This window comes from Homo sapiens, chromosome 1, assembly GCF_000001405.40.
Source record: "Homo sapiens chromosome 1, GRCh38.p14 Primary Assembly".
NCBI classification, from domain to species: domain Eukaryota; kingdom Metazoa; phylum Chordata; class Mammalia; order Primates; family Hominidae; genus Homo; species Homo sapiens.
In genome coordinates this window covers 59204024-59223581 of record NC_000001.11, presented here as the reverse complement: position 1 = coordinate 59223581, position 19558 = coordinate 59204024, and the positions used below count along the sequence as shown (strand labels likewise).

Sequence of the window (19558 nt, the reverse complement as noted above, 5' to 3'; positions counted from 1 at the left end):
ATCCTTGCTCAGCAGCATGGGAAATGGTTTGTATTTTCTCACTAAGAAAGAAGGGGGGATAGTGATAGCAGCTGTTTACACCCCATTCCATTCCCCCCATGCCCAACCCCTCTGACATCATGGGTGTCACCCATTTCTGGAAGGCCCCACCTATAAAGGCTCCACCCAGTGGCCCAGCACCATGGAAATGAGTCCATCCTCTGATCCCAAAGCGAAGAATGAAGCCAAAGACTGCATGAATTTCAGGCCAGACATCAGAAACTAGGACCCAGAGGTAAGCTGTTGGAGGCATCCAAGAAATTCCAGTAGTTCCATCTCAGTGACTTAAGATCACAATTCCGTGGAATATTCTCTAAGTGGCTCCCCATAGCATTCAGAATAAAGTTTAAACTCTTAGTCTGGCACACAGGTCCCTCATGATCTAGTTCTTGCCGTAGTTCCTGTCTGTCCTTCTCACTCATACCTTTTCTTCAACCATAATAAACTACCACAAATTTTTCATGCCCCTTGCTCTTTTCACAAGCTGATTCTTCTGCCAAAAAGGATTTTATTCTTCTTGTCTTATTACCTCTTCTTTTCATTGTCTGGATAACACCAACCCATCTTTCAAAAACTAATTTCCCCAGCCATCACACCTCCTCTGCGAAGTCTTCCTGAAAGTCCATGTCTGGGTATGGTGCACGGCTTATCATCACAGCCATCCTCCCTTACACTTCTCTATCTGCTTGTCTGCCATCTCCCTTAGACTGTGAGTGACCCTAGAAGAGTAATGCTTTTTTTTTTTTTTTTTGAGACAGAGTCTTACTCTGTTGCCCAGGCTGGAATGCAGTGGTGCAATCTCAGCTCATTGCAACCTCCACCTCTTGGGTTGAAGCAATTCTCCTTCCTCAGTCTCCCGAGTAGCTGGGATTACAGGCATGTGCCACTATGCCTGGCTAATTTTTGTAGTTTTAGTAGAGATGGGGTTTCACCATGTTGGCCAGGCTGGTCTCAGACTCCTGACCTCAGGTGATCCTCCTGCCTCGGCCTCCCAAAGTGCTGGGATTACAGGCATGAGCCACCACGCCTGGCCCAGTGACTGCATCTTAATCCATGTCAGTATCTGCAGTGCCCAGCAAAAGCTGGTCTTAGTTATGGACAAAAGATCTAGAAGAGCTTGTGGGTGTATATCATAATCAGAGTGAAAATCCTTTTTAAATCTGGTAATACATAGCGATGGTGTGAAGCATTTATTTTTCATTTCACTATCTTCCACTTCTGAGCCCAATTCACACAGACATTTGAGGCTTTTCTTCCTCTCTGTATCTCCCCTTCTTTTTCTATACCCACTTCTTACCTCTACTTCTTTCTCTGCCTGGAATCTGAGCTTCAACCTGGAGGGGCAGCGTTAGATCTATAAAGTTTTAGGTGTATCAACACACCAAATCAGCATTTTTCCTGTCAACACTGACCAACTTTCTCAGCAACCTTCCATGGATTTTTGTGCTGTTACAGCCTGTATGTCTTTATTCTGTCTTACTAATAATCTATTCTCTGTAAAATATCAGTGGCAGGAGAAAGAAGGGAGTGAAGGGGAAGTAAAATGCTATCTTAGTCTGTTCAGGCTGCTATAACAAAATATCATAAACTAGGTGGCTTCTAAACAACAGAAATCTATTTCTCACAGTTCTAGAGTCTGGGAAGTCCAAGATCAAGGAGCCAGCAGATTCAGTATCTAGTGCAGGCTGTCTTCTGGGTTGAAGACTGCTGACTTTTGCTGTGTCCTCACATGGCAAAAGGGGCAAGACTCTCTCCTGGGCCTCTTTTACAAAAGCACTAATCCTATCCATGAAGACTCCATCCTTATGACCTAATCTTCTCCCAAAAGCCTCACCTTCTAATACCATCACCTTGGTGATTAAGATTCAGCATATAAATTTTCAGGGGACACAAAATTCAGGCCATAGCAAGTGTTATCTTCCATGTAAAGATTTCAAGTACAGATGAAGGGATGGGTGTCTGGATGGCTGAATAAATGCAGGCAGGATGTATGGTGTAACAAATGAGTGACTTGCTCCTATTCTGACCCCTGGCACCACAGTTATGATCGTGCTTCTTCTTGATTCCTAGATGTGGTCACTGTCTTGAACCCCAGGAGCCTGAACTCAAATATTGACAGGGATTCAGTTATTTGCAGAGAGTCCTATTTGGTGCTGATCACTGACCTAGGCATCCTAGTATCTCCTGATGCTGTGAATCTCTAGGCTTATCCACTTGTCAGTGCCATCCCTTCCTTGTCAAAGAATTCGCAAATGGACATCAATTCATCAACAAATAATTATTAAGTCTCAGCTAAGTGCCAGAACCTGTAACATTCTTTTTTCTAGACTATGACCTACTGTCACCATAGTCTCTCAGAGTCTCATAGTTCCACTCAGCAGACTGAACCTCCTCTAGAATTTTTAGATGCCCTATTTCCTGGCACCTGTCCACCCAGAAAGGGCCTTTCTGAAAACTGTGCTCCTCGCCGTCTGCCCAGCTTGCTGAATTTTTCCAGACCCATCCTATATGGAGTCTGGGCTGTGCAGGACAAAAAGTCCTGAGGGAGCACTTAGGAGACCCTCATGGAAGTGAGCTTAATGAAGAGGGGACAGCAATGTGAAAGGCAAGGCTTTCATCTTTCCAGGATTATGATGACAAGAGAAAGCGCAGGAGTTCAGAAAGGTAGAGAAGTATTGTGGCTATCCCTTTATTTGCTTCTTATCTTTTTTCCCCTCTCCATTCAAATACCTACTCTTATCCTGGTTTTACCTCTCAGCTTTGAATGCCTTTCCCCCACTCCTTCAGGATTCAATGTCATCTACCCCTAGAAGTCCTCCCTATGCCCCTGTATCTGATTCATGTGCCCACCCATTGTGATAGATACGGACTTCTGCATGGGCTTGTCCCGTTGCCAGGAGTGTGGTCAGCAGGCATCACAGCTGTCAGCTCCTCCAGGGTCAGCTTGAGCTACAGAAAAATGCTTTTCCTGGAATCACGCACCTGCACCCACTGGTATTGAGCAAGTCAGCGGCATGAAGGCCTAACCATTTTAGCCTGAGGAAAACTTCACCGTTGGGCAGTTAGCACTGGAGTCCCTTGCTGTGTTAGCTAAGCCTTGGTTAAGCTTGCTTCAAGGTTCAACTTCTCCTTCTGCTCAATCCTGCTTCCTTCCTCTTCCTTGCACAGGTGCTCATTACTACTAAACACTTTGTATTCCAAAATTAATCTTGGTGTCTGCTTCTTGAGACCCCAACTGTGAGATCAATCACAGACGGCATAGCATATTAGAAAAAAAGTGAGAGCTCTGGAGTGACATAAACCAGAGTTTGAATCTAGTCTCCCAACTTACTATTTGTGTGACTTTGAGCAAGTTGGTTAACTTTTCTCAGCTTCGGTTTGTTCATCTGAAAGATGGAGTTAACAGTACCTCATAGGACAGCTGTGGTGATTACATCATAAATACATCTAAAGTATTTGTACAGTAAGAATTCAGTACACATTAACTATTCTTAGTCTGTTTTATTTTCTTTGTCATAGCACATAATACACTCTATGGTAGTTATAAATTAAACTGTTTGTTTCTGTTCTTTGAAGGTAGAGACTATTTCTTATTAATTATTGCATCCTTTGCACCTAGCATAATCCTGTAGATAGCCTGCTTTCAATAAGTATTTGTTCAATAAGAAATTAGTATCCCTATTTTACAGACAAGGAATAGAGCACAGAAGTCACACTAATAGTAAATAGCAGAGCCATAATTTGAACCCAATTTTGTCTTCTTCAAAGCAAATTGTCTTGCCTTTCAAAGCTGAAGATGAAGATGGGGACTGCTCTTTATCCTGAGAGCAGTGGGGAACTACAACAAGTTTTTAATTGGGGAAATTTGTAAGGCATAAAGAGGTTACAAAGGGTGCAGGGTGGAGGCAGAGAGAGAGAGAAGCTGGGTCTGAGGTGATGGAGAATATATTAGTTGTCTATTGCTGCATAACAAATCACCCCAAATTTAGTGGACTGAAACAACAACATTCCTCCAGGCCTGGCTTATCAATGGGTGGCTTAGCTGGATCTGTCAGGGTCTGTCACAGTCTACAGTCAAGAGTTGGCTGGGGCAGCGGTCATCTCAAGGCTCAACTTGAAGAGAAGAGCCTTCCAAGCTCACATGGTTGGAGGGTTCAGTTGCTTGTTGACTATTGGCTGGAGGCCATCTTATTGTCATGTGGCTAGGTGCTCTCATGTGGCCTGAGAGCAGCTCATAATGTGATATATTCCTTGAAACAGAACTAGTGAGAAGAACCAGAGAGAGAGAGAGAGAGCATGCTAACAAGATGGAAGTCATATTCTTTTATAACCTAATGTTGGAGGTAACATTTCCTCATTTTTGCCATATTCTATTCTTTAGAAGCAAGTCTATTAGTCCAGCCCACACTCAAGGGAGGGGGATTTATACACGAGCAGAAATACGAGAGGGATATTGTGGTTTGAACTTTGTGCCTAATTCTCTAAATTCATATGTTGAAGTCCTAAACCTCAATAGCTCAGAATGTAACCTTATTTGGACATATGGTCTTTGCAGAGGTAATCAAGTTAAAACAAGGTCACTAGGGTGGGCCCTAGTCCAATATGACTGGTATCCTTACCAAAAGGGAAAATTTAGAGACAGACCTGCATACAAGGAGAACAATGCATACATATAAACAGTAAGACAGCCATCTACAAGCCATGGGGAGAGGCCTGAAACAGATTGTCCCTCACAGACCTCAGAAGGTCAACACCTTGATTTTGGATTTCTGGCCTCCAGGCTATGAGGCAATCAATTTCTATTGCGGAAGCCACTCAATTCCTGTGGGACTCTGTTGTGACAACTCTAGTAAACTAACACAAAGGGTCACTGGGAACCATTTCAGAAGCTGCCTGGGATGGTTACTTTTATGTGTCAATCTGACTGGGCCAAGAGATGCCCAAATAGCTGGTTACGCATTATTTCTGGTTGTGTCTCTGTGGATGTCTCCGAGGAAATTAGCATTTGAATTTATGGAATGAGTAAAGCAGACAGCCCTCCCCAAAGTGAGTGGGAGTCATCCAATCTATTGAGGGCCTGAATAGAACAAAAAAGTAGAAGAAGGTAGAATTTGCCTTCTGTCTGACTGACTGAGCTGAACACTGGTGTTCTCCTGCCCTTGATGCTCCTAGTTCTCAGGCCTTCAGACTTGGAATCTACACCCTTGGCTCTAAGGTTCTAGGGTCTTCAAACTATATACCACCAGCTTGCCAGAGTCTCCAGCTTACAGATGGCAGATGGTGGGATTTCTTCACCTCCATAATTGTGTGAGCTAATACCTTATACAAAATCTCTTTTCTAAGTAACAAACCTTCACTTGTACCCCCAAACCTAAAATAAAAGTTTAAAAAAATTCTCTCTCTCTCCTCTCTCACTCTCTATACACACACAGACACACACACACACATGTATACACACACACACACACACACACACACACACACATACAAATATACACATATATACCCTGTTATTTCTCTGGGGAACTCTGATACTCTGCCTATCACAGAAGACTAACATCTGACAGAAACAGCCTGATGCTGAGGAAAGGGATGATTTGGGAGATGAATACATGGAAATTTCAGGTGCTGATTGATGAGCAGAGGGAGAGGGTAAAAGGGTAAGAAAGGGTGTCTGCTGTGCCTGTCCTTATTTGGGTAATATATTGATATGATTTGGCTGTGTTCCCACCCAAATATCATCTTGAACTCCCACATGTTGTGGGAGGGACCTGTGGGAGGTAATTGAATCATGGGGGCAGGTCTTTCCCGTGCTGTTCTAGTGATAGTGAATAGGTCTCATGAGATCTGATGGCTTTATGAGGCAAAGTTTCCCTGCACAAGCTCTCTCTTTGCCTGCTTCCATCCATGTAAGATGTGACTTGCTCTTTCTTGCCTTCCACCATGATTATGAGGCTTCCCCAGCCACGTGGAACTATAAGTCCAATAAACCCTTCTTTTCTGTATAAATTACCCAGTCTCAGGTATGTCTTTATCAGCAGCATGAAAACTGACTAATACATGTATGGTCTAGGTAATCATAGTGAGAACTGAGGATTGGGTGTTAATTAAGCAGCACTTTGAATGGAATTCAAGTTGTTAAAGGCAAGGACTGCCTGTAGTTCTGATCCCACCCGAGGAAGGTGACTGCTCCCCACCATGGCAGAGTGGCCTGGCCTCTTGAAAATTGCAGTGTCTTGGGACAGGTGATAATGTTCAGATTCAGCATCAAATGTTTATAAAACTTTTAGTCTTATTGGCACTGGGGAAACAGAGGCAAATGATCTTCCTAGCTCACAGATCTAGCTAGGACCCTGAAAGCCTTCAACAACTGACTGAAGAAAGTACAGGCTCCCTAACGTGGCATGCACACAACCTGGCTCACCCTCCGTGACCCAGCTTAGGCCTAGTCCTTGCTTATGGCTTCTCCTTGTTCTCCTCCCACCGTACTTGACCTGCTCTGTCCCACTTCCCTGCATTTGCTTCCACAACCATATTGAACTACACACTTGCAAGTTCCTAAATAAGATGGACTATTTCAGGCTTCTGGGTCATGGCTGCTATTTAATTCTGCCTAGGTCTTTTCTTTTCTCTTCTCTTCTCTTCTCTTCTCTCTTCTTTCTCTTTCTTTTCTTTCTTTCTTTCTTTCTTTCCTTCTTTCTCTTTCTCTCTTTCCTTCTTTCTCTTTCTCTCTCTCTCTCCCCCCCTTACCCTCCCTCCCTTCCTGCCTCCCTCTCTCCTTCTCTTTCTTTCTTTCTTTCTTTCCTTCTTTCTTTCTTTCTTTCTTTCTTTCTTTCTCTTTCTTTCTTTCTTTCTTTCTTTCTTTCTTTCTTTCTTTCTTTCTTTCTTTCTTTGTTTTTCTTTTACAATTTTAAGAATCTGCTTGGCTAAATTCTACCTTCCCTTCACCACTAAGCTGAAATGAAATCTTCTTCTGTGAAGCCCATCTCACTCCTCTAGGTAGATTCCTTTCGTGTATTCTCTATTTTGTGGGAGAGAAATGCGTCTTAATTTTTTCTATTAGACAAGAAATCCTTTGAAGGTGAGATCATGATCTTTTTCTTTGTGTACCTCCAGAGTCCAGTACCTGGCCTAGAGTAGAGCTCAATCAAAGTTAGTTTAATGAAATGAGTGATTGAAGAAACAAGTGGGTGAACAAAATACAATTCTTACACCCATGAGAGACAGGCAAGTAAATAAGCAGTTCCATATCAAAGGGTCAAATACTTTAATAGCTAAATTCTAAATGAGCATGGAGGATAGAACATGTACATTTTGCCTGGGGAAAGTGGAGGAAAACCAGGGACAGCATCCCGGGGAAAGGGACACTTATACTGAGTCTTAAAAGAGACCATGGGTTCATGCTGTGGATGGGGGAAGGCATTTCCAGCTTAGGGACTGATGTGTGTGCAGGCATGGAGACAGAAGAGAGCTCACTGACTCATCAGGGAAGACGTGTCCTGAAACACAGTGGAACTGGGCAAGTGAAGAGCACAGACAGGTGGCAGTCACCTGCAGGATCCTGAAGGCCCGGAATACTGTCCTAAGAAAGATGATGACTCCATTGCTGAGTCATTGAATGCTGAACCTGAAGAGCCTGATGTGGCTCAGAGAGAATTTTGTTTGAGAATGGGCCATGCCAGAGGCTTATGCCATGGAGCCTGTACTCACGGCCACCTTTACTCAAGCAGACGATGGGTGGTGGGGATGACAGTGTTGGGGGTTCTCTGGACCGGCTGGCTCTGAAAAGAGAGTGGGCAGAGATGCTGAGCTGGGCATGCTTCAGCTCTCATCCCAATTCACCAATCAGATCAGGTGCTCTTCCCAGGTAGAAGCTAAAAGTCTTTTTCACACACCTGGTCCTTCTGGGAGAAGGCAGAGGTTTTCTCTCTTCTCATCCACCCTTTCCTCCACCAGGCCTGATATATAGCAAAGCCAGAATAGTAGGTTAGACAGAGTTCCTTTGGGCATATCTGCTATGGGAAACATTCTCGGACAGTTCCTCAATCAGGCCCTGGTTACCTGTCCCTGCCCTGTGCCTACACAGCTCCCTGAACTTACCTGAAACACTGGCACTTGTCTTACTGCATTGAAATGTCCCGTTGCGTTCTCTGCCTTCCACACTATACTGCAAATCCCCTGAGAGCAGAGTGTCATGAGTTGGTACACTTTTGGATGCCCAGATCTTAGTGTAGAGTCTCATGCAGGTTTGGAATAAATGACAGGATTGAATGAGTGAACACAGCTAACTTGCTTTGGTTTGTAAACTCAGGTCCTGTGCTTGGCTCTGTGAAAGTTCCTATTTCTTGCTTATTCTCTTCCTCAGTGTCACCTGTCTGGTGAGGTCAGATGCTCAGGACAAGTAAGTCCAGTGACTGTATCAGGGGGTAGGAGCTTGGGCAGGCTGATCAGGCCCAACGGCAGAGGCCCAAGGGGCCAGCTGGAATGCGCGTGATGTAACCACATCTCCAGGCCTGGTATTAGACCCTTCTAATTTGGTTTTGAAAACATGTGGTTTTGTCCTTGTTCAAATATTGATTTTAAGTAACTTGAGCCTGGCAGAAAAGGCCTCTGCCGGGGCCAGCAGAGCTGTTTGTTGCCTTAATGACATTTCTGTGTGTTTGTATAACATGAACTGGTGGTCGAGTTGTTGCTCTCAGGGAAGATTTACGGGACTTTACACTTTGGAAGATATTGAGGCAAACTGTTGATGAAGGCCTAGGGCATAAATCAGACCCACTCAGGCCAACAAAGGACACTTTGGAAACTTTGCCAACTGCCTCCTCCCCTCATATACAGTGAGGGGTTTGAATTAGGTCAGCCGGTTTTGGAGCATTTGCTCTAAATCCTTGGGTTTCACAGAGGAGTTTGGGGGAGTCAGGGAAGAGGGGTGTTTTGGGTGAAATTCTAGGCAGGCAGGGTTCCACAGACTTCCAGAACTTTGTTGGTTTCATAACTGAGGTTCTTACCAGATTTATGCAGGTAAAAATAAAATGTTTGGAAACCACAGGAGTAGAAGACTGTGACATCCCTTCCACACCTAAAACTCTAGTATTGAATTACCCTGTGTCCTAACAGGAAGCATCCCACTCAAATGAGGTTACTGAGAAGAGTTTGATGAAGGGACTATTAACAAACGTATGGATGGAATTAAGGGAAATAAACACAGGATGGTGAAGTACCAGGGGCGGGTAGCAGAGCCCTTAGAGAGCACAAGAGCTATGCTGGCGATTTGGCAGAGGACTGCCTGATGGGAGTCAAGGCCTTTGTTAGAGGAACATGGCCACTGAGAACCTGTGGCCCCACACAAGGAGACCAGGGAATACAGACCCTAACCTCTCTCTCTCTTGCCTTCAGCTCTCTTGAGGATGCCTTCCCTATGCCAAATTGGACTGGAATCCAGAAAGTTGATGTGGTGTATGGGTGGTAGGCTACTGGGCCCCACAGAGACTGAGGCTGGAGAGTGAATTTGCAGGAGTGAATGGAAACTACCCAGCCTATATCAGGAGCTTTGCAGACCACTGTGAGGTGGCAGGAGGTAGAAGGCTGTGCTTCTCCTTGACCTTCTGTCAATTGACAACCTTCATCGCAGGTCTTCAGCTACCCTGTTTCTATTTTTAATCAAATGGGAATTTGGTGAGTTCTTCAAATCTCTTCCAGCACTATGAAAAATGATTTTATGTCTACCTGAAGAGAGGAATGCTGGTTAGTAGAGTTTAAAGGGAAATAGTAAAGGATATTGACTAAGAACATGGACCTTGAGGATATACATAACTGGGTTTTGATATTGGTTCCATCTCTTAATAGCTGGGTGACTTTGAGCAAGTCCCATCACCTGTTAAGCCTTAGTTTCCAACTGGTGAAATGGAGACAATCATAATACTTTACAGTATTGTGCCAATGACAAAATGAATTTAAACATATAATGCACTTAGGATTAAACACATGGTTAGCAATCAACTGGTAGAAGCTATTATTCTCAGATGAGAGCTCACTGGAAAACACTGTCTTATACATAGCCCCAATAGAGTCTTCATCCTCTATTGATTTTTGCATGCTTATTTCTTCTTTAATCCTCTGTCTTCAAATTTTCTGGTGAAAATCCAGCAATTTGGAGGGAGTTCTCTTGGGTTAGTACAAAAAAACATTTAATGATATCACCTGCAACTCTTGAGCTGACCAGGGTACCTCAAACCTCAATGTCTGCCCTTGGGAAAATCTTATTACCTATCCAAGACTCCAGTCCTCCAGCTCAGCCATTCTTGGTCATCACAACAAACTGTGACATCTTCAGGGCATGCCAAAGTGTCCTAGAGCCCCAGATGAGCTCAGCAAGTCCTTGCTTTCTCTCCTCAGCCCTACAAGGTTCAGCCAGGGCAGGCTAGCCCCAGCTGTGCCCCCGGCACATAAAATTAAAGATCCTGTCAAAGCCAAAACAAAAAGAGTAGTGGGCATGGGTGACCTAAGGCAGTAGCTTCCTCCTCCTCATTCTACCAAATGCCATTCCCCTGGGTCCTGGGGAGACAAATGGCCAGTTCACATCTCAGCTGCTGGCCCTGATTGTAAGTCTGCACGATTTACCTTGGCTCTCACTGGCACTGAGAATGAGGTCATTGAAAGAGGGAGACAGTGCAGAAGACCTCTGGAAGGGCAGCAGTAAAACACGCTGTCAGGAGGCAGGAGAGAACCCTTGAATCATAGGGTCCTTGGCAGCTGTCTTTGAGAGGTAAATAACTTCAAAATGTACTTGCCTGGAAGATAAAATGTGTGCTTTTATGCATACCAAAGGCCATCTCCAAACTCTTTTCTCATTCAGTTTTTTTTTTAATTGAATCAATTTCCTTAAGGCTCAGAAGTATAGTGTGGTAAAAATGACCAAGAACTAAGATGGTGAGAGGAAATGTAATAGATTTTCAGAGCCAGACAGGGTCTATTGCTGGCTGGGTCATCCAGTCCATGCCTACCTCTTCCCCTCACTCCCCATGTGCCAGCCCTGCTGGGCTTCTCTTGGTTCCTCCACCCACCACCCTCTCAGAACTGAGACCTGCACCCTCTCACTTCTTTTTCTGGGAAGCTCTTCCTTGCCGTTCTTCCCTTGGCTAATTCCCTCACATTCTTCAAAATCTCAATTTTTACGGCACTTCTTCAGAATCCTTCCCTCATTCCCCATGTTGTTATTTTTTCCTCCCTGATGGCTGAAATGCAATTGCTATTCTTAGAGTCTGAGCAGCCATTTTGGACCATGAGGTAGAAGCTAAAACCTGTTGATGGCAGAATTTCGAGACAGAAAGAGCCTGGATGCCCCCTGCCCCAACGTTTTCAGAAAGCTGCCTGTCAGTTCTGATTTCTCACCTCTGGATTTCTTTTAATTGAGGTAAAATTTACATAACATAAAATTAACCATTAACCATTTCAAAGTGCACAATCCAGTGCATTTAATGTATGTACTATACTGTACAGATGTCACCTCTGTTCAATTCCAGGGTCTCTATGGATTTGCCAATGATAGACATTTCATACAAACAGAATTTTATGATATGTGACCATTTGAGTTTGTTTTCTTTTAGTTAGCATGTTTTTGAGGCTCATCCACATTATATCACATATCAGTACTTTGTTCATTTTTTATGGCTGAATAATATTCCATGGTATAAATATACCACCTTTTGATCATCCATTAATTTGTTGGACGTTTGGGTTGTTTCCACATTTTAGGTATTGTGAAATACAAACATTTGTCTACAAGTATCTCTAAATTTCTTTTATACAACACAGAAATACATTTCTATCTGTTTATCTCATTTTTATTTGTCTTTTCTGTCACCCTCAAATTATACTTTAGCTGAGACAAGGGATCTAACAATTATGATTTTAAAATTTGTATTTTCTCCTTATTTATCCCGTCTTGAAGGAAACAGTACCAAGAAGCAGAAAGACCTTTGTATCATTTTCACTCCAACACCATTTCCTGTGCTTCTTTGCACCTCAGCAATGTTATCTATAAAATGGGGATAACCAGGCCCCTGAAGGCAGAAGTGTAAGTCAGATGATCTCTCGAGGTCTCTCATATTTGATTCTTCAAAGGATGGTTTGAAAGGTTACAAGAAACAGTGTAACTTTCTTTGGAACACTCTCGCTAACTCATCCTCTTTCTCTCTTTTTGAGCTGGGTTTTTTTTGCTTTTTATCCTTGCCCTATTGCATCTCTAAAATGACATTTTTTTATAGTGCGTCTTAAATTCATTGTGTACATGTCTGTTTTCTTGGTAGAGCATACAATCTTGAAAAATAAGTCCTTTAAATGCAGCCTGCTCTTTCAAACAAATCAAGCACATAAAAAGCCACACAACAACAACAACATCAATTCCAGGTGCTTCATCTCATCCAACTTCTTGTCATTTCTAAGGCCTTCTGTTCCCTTGGGATTTGGTATCTAGGTTTTGCTATCTTTTCTAGTTCTCCTTGATGAAGATACTATTCTTTCTTTTCTTTTCTTTTCTTTTTTTTTCTTTTTTTTTTTTTTTGATTCAGGTACACTATTTTACCTTACTTTAAGTTCTGGGATACATGTGCTGAAGGTGCAGGTTTGTTACATAGGTATACACGAGGCATGGTTGTTTGCCGCACCCATCAACCCGTCATGTACATTAGGTATTTCTCCTAATGCTATCCCTCCCCTAGGCCACCACCCCCGACAGGTCCTGGTATGTGGCCTTCCCCTCCCTGTGTACATGTGTTCTCATTTTTCAACACCCACTTATGAGTGAGAACATGTGGTGTTTGGTTTTCTGTTCCTTTGTTAGTTTGCTGAGAATGATGGCTTCCAGCTTCATGAATATCCCTGCAAAGGACATGAACTCCTCCTTTTTTATGGCTGCATAGTATTTCATGGTGTTTATGTGCCACATTTTCTTTATCCAGTCTGTCATTGATGGGCATTTGTGTTGGTTCCAAGTCTTTGCTATTGCGAACAGTGCTGCAATACACATACATGTGCATGTGTCTTTATAGCAGAATGATTTATAAATCTTTGGGTATATACCCAGTGATGGGATTGCTGGGTCAAACGGTATTTCTGGTTCTAGATCCTTGAGGAATTGCCACACTGTCTTCCACAATGGTTGAACTAATTTACACTCCCACCAACAGTGTAAAACAGTTCCTATTTCTCCACATCCTTTCCAGCATCTGTTGTTTCCTGACATTTTAATGATTGTCATTCTAATTGGCATAAGATGGTATCTCATTGTGGTTTTGATTTGCATTTCTCTAATGACCAGTGATAATGAGCTTTTTTTCCATATGTTTGTTGGGCGCATAAATGTCTTCTTTTCAGAAGTGTCTGGGATGGGCACAGTGGCTCACGCCTGTAATCCCAGCACTTTGGAAAGCTGAGGTTGGCGGATCATGAGGTCAGGAGATAGAGACCATCCTGGCTAACATGGTGAAACCCCGTCTCTACTAAAAAATACAAAAAATTAGCCAGGCGTGGTGGCAGGTTCCTGTAGTCCCAGCTACTCGGGAGGCTGAGGCAGGAGAATGGCAAGAATCCAGGAGGTGGAGCTTGCAGTGAGCCAAGATCATGTCACTGCACTCCAGCCTGGGCAACAGAGCGAGACTCCATCTCAAAAAAAGTAAATAAATAAAATAAGTGTCTGTTCATATCCTCCGCCCAGTTTTTGATGGGATTGTTTGTTTTTTCTTGTAAATTTGCTTAAGTCCCTTGTGTATTCTGGATATTAGTTATTTGTCAGATGAATAGATTGCAAAAATTTTCTCCCATTCTGTAGTTTGCCTGTTCACTCTGATGATAGTTTCCTTTGCTGTGCAGAAGCTCTTTAGTTTAATGAGATCCCATTTGTCAATTTTGGCTTTTGTTGCCATTGCATTTGTTGTTTTAGTCATGAAGTCTTTGCCCATGCCTATGTCCTGAATGGTATTGCCTAGGTTTTGTTCTAGGGTTTTTATGGTTTTAGGTCTTACGTTTAAGTCTTTAATTCATCTTGAGTTAATTTTTGTATAAGGAAGTGGTCCAGTTTCAGTTTTCTGCATATGGCTAGCCAGTTTTCCCAAAACCATTTATTAAATAGGAAATCCTTTCCCCATTTCTTGTTTTTGTCAGGTTTGTCAAAGATCAGGTGGTTGTAAATGTGTGGTGTTATTTCTGAGGGCTCTGTTCTGTTCCACTGACCTATATCTCTGTTTTGGTACCAGTACCATGCTGTTTTGGTTACTGTAGCCTTGTAGTATAGTTTGAAGTCAGGTAGCGTGATACCTCCAGCTTTGTTCTTTTTGCTTAGGATTGTCTTTGCTATACAGGCTCTTTTTGGGTTCCATATGAAATTTAAAGTAGTTTTTTCTAATTCTGTGAAGAAAGTCAATGGTAGCTTGATGGGGATAGCACTGAATCTATAAATTACTTTGGGCATTATGGCCATATTCATGATATGGATTCTTCCTATCCATGAGCATGGAATGTTTTTCCATTTGTTTGTGTCCTCTCTTATTACCTTGGGCAGTGGTTTGTAGTTCTCCTTGAAGAGGTCCTTCACATCCCTTGTAAGTTGTATTCCTAGGTATTTAATTCTCTTTGTAGCAATTGTGAATGGAGTTCACTCATGATTTGGCTGTTCATCTATTATTGGTGTGTAGGAATGCTTGTGATTTTTGCACATTGATTTTGTATCCTGAGACTTTGCTGAAGTTGCTTATCAGCTTAAGGAGATTTGGGCCTGAGACGATGGGGTTTTCTAAATATACAATCATGTCATCTGCAAACAGAGACAATTTGACTTCCTGTCTTCCTATTTGAATATCCTTTATTTCTTTCTCTTGCCTGATTGCCCTGGCCAGAGCTTCCAATACTATGTTGAATAGGAGTGGTGAGAGAGGGCATCCTTGTCTTGTGCTGGTTTTCAAAGGGAATGCTTCCACCTTTTGCCCATTCAGTATGATATTGGCTATGGGTTTGTCATAAATAGCTCTTACTATTTTGAGATACATTCCATCAATACCTAGTTTATTGAGAGTTTTTAGCATGAAGGGGTGTTGAATTTTATCAAAGGCCTTTTCTGCATCTATTGAGATAATCATGTGGTTTTTGTCATTGGTTCTGTTTATGTGATGGATTATGTTTACTGATTTGCATATGCTGAACCAGCCTTGTATCCCAGGGCTGAAGCCGACTTGGTCATGGTGGATAAGCTTTTTGATGTGCTGCTGGATTTGGTTTGCCAGTATTTTATTAAGGATTTTTGCATCAATGTTCATCAGGGATATTGGCCTGAAATTTTCTTTTTTTGTTGTGTCTCTGCCAGGTTTTGGTATCAGGATGATGCAGACCTCATAAAATGTGTTAGGGAGGAGTCCTTCTTTTTCTAGTGTTTGGAATATTTTTAGAAGGAATGGTACCAGCTCTTCTTTGTACCTCTAGTAGAATTCGGCTCTGAATTTGGTTCCACTCTCCCCATCACTTTCAGGTACACCAACCAAAGGTAGGCTTGGTCTTTTCACATAGTCCCATATTTCTTGGAGGCTTTGTTCATTCCTTTTCATTCTTTTTTCTCTAATCTTGTCTTCACACTTTATTTCATTAAGTTGATCATTCATTTCTGATAATCTTTCTTCCACTTGATCGATTCGGCTACTGATAGTTGTGTATGCTTCATGAAGTTCTCGTGCTGTGTTTTTCAGCTCCATCAGGTCATTTATGTTCTTCTCTGAACTGGTTATTCTAGTTAGCAATTTCTCTAACCTTTTTTTAAGGTTCTTAGCTTCCTTGCATTGGGTTAGAACATGCTTCTTTAGCTTGGAGGAGTTTGTTATTGCCCTCCTTCTGAAGCCTACTTCTGCCAATTCGTCAAACCCATTCTCTGTCAAGTTTTGTTCCCTTGCTGGCAACGAGTTGTGATCCTTTGGAGGAGAAGAGGCATTCTTGTTTTTGGAATTTTCAGCCTTTTTATGCTGGTTTTTCCTCATCTTCGCGCATTTATCTACCTTTGGTCTTTGATGTTGGTTACCTTCAGATGGGGTTTTCATGTGGTCGTTCTTTTTGGTGATGTTGATGCTATTCCTTTCTGTTTGTTAGTTTTCCTTCTAACAGTCAGGCAGACCCCTCTGCTACAGGTCTGCTCGAGTTTGCTGGAGGTCCACTCTAGACCCTGCTTACCTGGATATCACCAGGGGAGGCTGCAGAACCCCAAAGATTGCAGCCTGTTCCTTCCTCTGGAAGCTTCGTCCCAGAGGGACTTGTGCTAGATGCCAGCCGGAGCTCTCCTGTATCATGTGTCTCTCGACCCGTGCTGGGAGTTGTCCCCCAGTCAGGAGACACGAAGGTCAGGGACCCACTCGAGGAGGCCGTCTGTCCCTTAGCACAACTCAAGTGCTGTGCTGGGAGATCCGCTGCTTTCTTCAGAGCCAGCAGGCAGGAACGTTTAAGTCTGCTGAACCTGCGCCCACAGCTGCCCCTTCCCCCAGGTGCTCTGTCCCAGGGAGATGGGAATTTTATCTAAAAGCCCCTGACTGGGGCTTCTGCCTTTCTTTCAGAGATGTCCTGCCCAGAGAGGAGGAATCTAGAGAGGCAGTCTGGCTACAGTGGCTTTGCTGAGCTGTGGTGGGCTCCTCCCAGTTCGAACTTCCTGGTGGCTTTGTTTACACTGTGCGGGGAAAACTGCTACTCAAGTCTCAGTAATGCCAGACGCCCCTTCCCCCACCAATCTCAAGGGTCCCATGTTGACTTCAGACTGCTGTGCTGGCAGCAAGAATTTCAAGCCAGTGGATCTTAGCTTGCTCGGCTCTGTGGGGCTGGGATCTGCTGAGCTAGACCTCTTGGCTCCCTGGCTTCAGCCCCCTTTCCAGGGCAGTGAAAGGTTCTGTCTCACAGGCATTCCAGGTGCCACTGGGGTATGAAAAAAAAAAAAAACCCTGCAGCTAGCTTGGTGTCTGCCCAAAGGGCCACCCAGTTTTGTGCTTGAAACCCACGGCCCTGGTGGTGTAGGCACCGAGGGAATCTCCTGGTCTGCAGGTTGCTAAGACCATGGGAAAAGCGTAGTATCTGGGCCAGAATGCACCTGTCCTCACCGCACAGTCCCTCATGGCTTCCCTTGGCTAGGGGAGGGAGTTCCCCAACCCTTGTGCTTCCCAGGTGAGGCAACGCCCCACCCTGCTTTGGCTCGCCCTCCATGGGCTGCACCCACTGTCTAACCAGTTGCAATGAGATGAGCCGAGTACCTCAGTTGGAAATGCAGAAATCACCCACCTTCTGCACTGATCTTGCTGGGAGCTGCAGACCGGAGCTGTTCCTATTCGGCCATGTTGCCAGCCACTCCTGAAGATACGATTCTTTCATTTGCCAATCTTGTCCTCACCCAAGTCCATCTGACCACCTGAGCCATAATTGTGGTTTAGAGCCATACCATACAGTAGCTGTGGACCTATGGCACTCTTAATGTCTAGTCCAGCCTTTGCCTTATTCCTAGCATTCCAGAAGAAGAGAGTTCAGAAAGGTTCTTGGTCATAGGTACTCAGAATATATTTATTGCATGAAGTGATTCCTAAAATAAAGACTTCAGTTCATCGAAGTCTTTTACCAAGGAATAAAACCTAGAGACAAAACTCATTCTTGGTCTTGGTAGAATCTGGGTTGAAGATGGAATGGAAAACAATTCGTGGAATTGTTTAGCGTAAGTCTGAAAATATATTTCTAGTCCCCTTATTTCTCCCTAAATTAGTCATCTTCCCCTCTCCTCCAAAATTAGCCAATTCTTGGTATATACAAATGATATGTTAAACTTGAACTTTTAAAGTTAATAATATCTAATTAATATATAAAAGTTATCACATGCCAGGTACTGTGCAAATTCCTTTACACAGATCACCTCATTTATCCTTGCAAAATTCTATCAGGTAGATCATACAATTATTTTTATTTTATATGGGAGAACACTAAAGCCTCTCAGATTAAATAACTTGTCAAAAGTCTTACAACTAGCAAGGGTTTCACTCAGGTCATCTAATTTCAATCTGTTTACACAACCACTCTGCCATACTCAAGATGAAGTGCAAATATATGCATATATTTCCATACATCCATTCATTTATTTTTTGAGTATTTCTGCTAGGTCTCTTGGTTGGGATAAAGAGATAACTAAGATGGGGTTCTCTTCAAGGCATGATAATATAAAGAATTTCAACATTATTTCTGACATGCTTCAATAGTCCCTTCCTGATTCTCAGCTTCCATCTCGAGATTTTTTTAAATGATGAGATCCTTCTGAGACTCTCCATCTCTTTAATAATCAAAGGAAAGTTCATTAAGGGTGCATAATGGAACTCCAAGATATCAAGTCCTAATCTGTGGGACCTGTAAGTTACCTTGTTAGCAAAGACTTTGTAGATTTAAGTTAAGGGTCTTGAGATGAGGAGTTAGTTCTGGATCACCCAGATTGGTCCTAAATGAAATCACAATTGTCTTTATATGGGAGAGGCAGAAGGAGACTTGACTACACACAGAAGAGAAAACAGCTTGAACATGGAGATAGAGGTCAAAGTGATGCAGCCACAAGCCAAGAAATGCTGGCAGCCACCAGAAGCTGGGAAAGGCAAGGCACAGATTTTCCCCTAGAGTATCTGGGAAGACACTCTCATTTTGGACTAGTGAAACTGATTTCTGGTCTCCAGAACAATGAGAGAATACATTTCTATTGTTTTAAACCAACAAGTTTGTGGTAATTTGTTACAGCAGCCACAGGAAACTAACAAACCAAGTTATTATACTTTCCTGTTTTGATGAATCCTGGAATCATTAGAATTCAGGACAAATATGAAACACACAAAACAGGAAATTGAGTTTCAGAAAAATAAATGGACTTGCCCAGGGTCACACAGCTAGCAGGCAGGGGAACTATTAAAACCTATTTCTAACTCTTGAGCTTTGCTAATCACTTTACAGTTTATAACCACGTTGACATAATATCTCTTTTTATTTTCATAGGAACCCAGAACAATTTTCTTTTTTCTTCTTTTTTGATAGATAGGCAATGTTTATCATTGCCTTAGTTTACAATAGAGAGTGAGTGAGGAGCTAGGATTGGAGGCCAGACTGGGTCCTTGGATTCCCTGCCTCTGTAATCACATCCTCTGGCCTGGGATGGATTCAAATGCTGGATGAGGAGGTCTTGTCATGAGCCTCCTGCCAGCCTGGCTGCAGGCAGTTTCAGCTTATCAGTCTGACCTTTGGTTTTCCATGGCAAACCCCTCTGTAGAGGAAACTGCCAACAGGCGGCCCAGGCACTGGCTCTATAAGACTGTATTGTCCTTATTTAGAATTGCTTTCATTTAAACCAGACTTGGTCTTGCAAAACATGTTTATTCTGGTTTCCTCTTCCTCCTGGCTGCCTGACCAGTGTAAGCCCATAGCACAGCAGCTCCAGCTCTTAAACCTGGGCCAGCAGAGCAATGCTAGGAGGAAGACAGGAGGCTCT

The 19558-nt window shown here is 43.0% G+C and overlaps 2 annotated features.

Moving 5' to 3' along the window:
- Window positions 4751-5045: a silencer, noted in NCBI's record as "tiled region #10857; HepG2 Repressive DNase matched - State 8:EnhW". NCBI's record gives its function as "represses a minimal TATA promoter and a strong SV40 promoter by Sharpr-MPRA in HepG2 cells {active_cell/tissue: HepG2}" and the evidence as "EXISTENCE:reporter gene assay evidence [ECO:0000049][PMID:27701403]".
- Window positions 16321-16943: an enhancer, noted in NCBI's record as "H3K27ac-H3K4me1 hESC enhancer chr1:59672311-59672933 (GRCh37/hg19 assembly coordinates)". NCBI's record gives its function as "activates a minimal SCP1, AML or CMV promoter by ChIP-STARR-seq in naive H9 embryonic stem cells {active_cell/tissue: H9 hESC(naive)}" and the evidence as "EXISTENCE:reporter gene assay evidence [ECO:0000049][PMID:30033119]".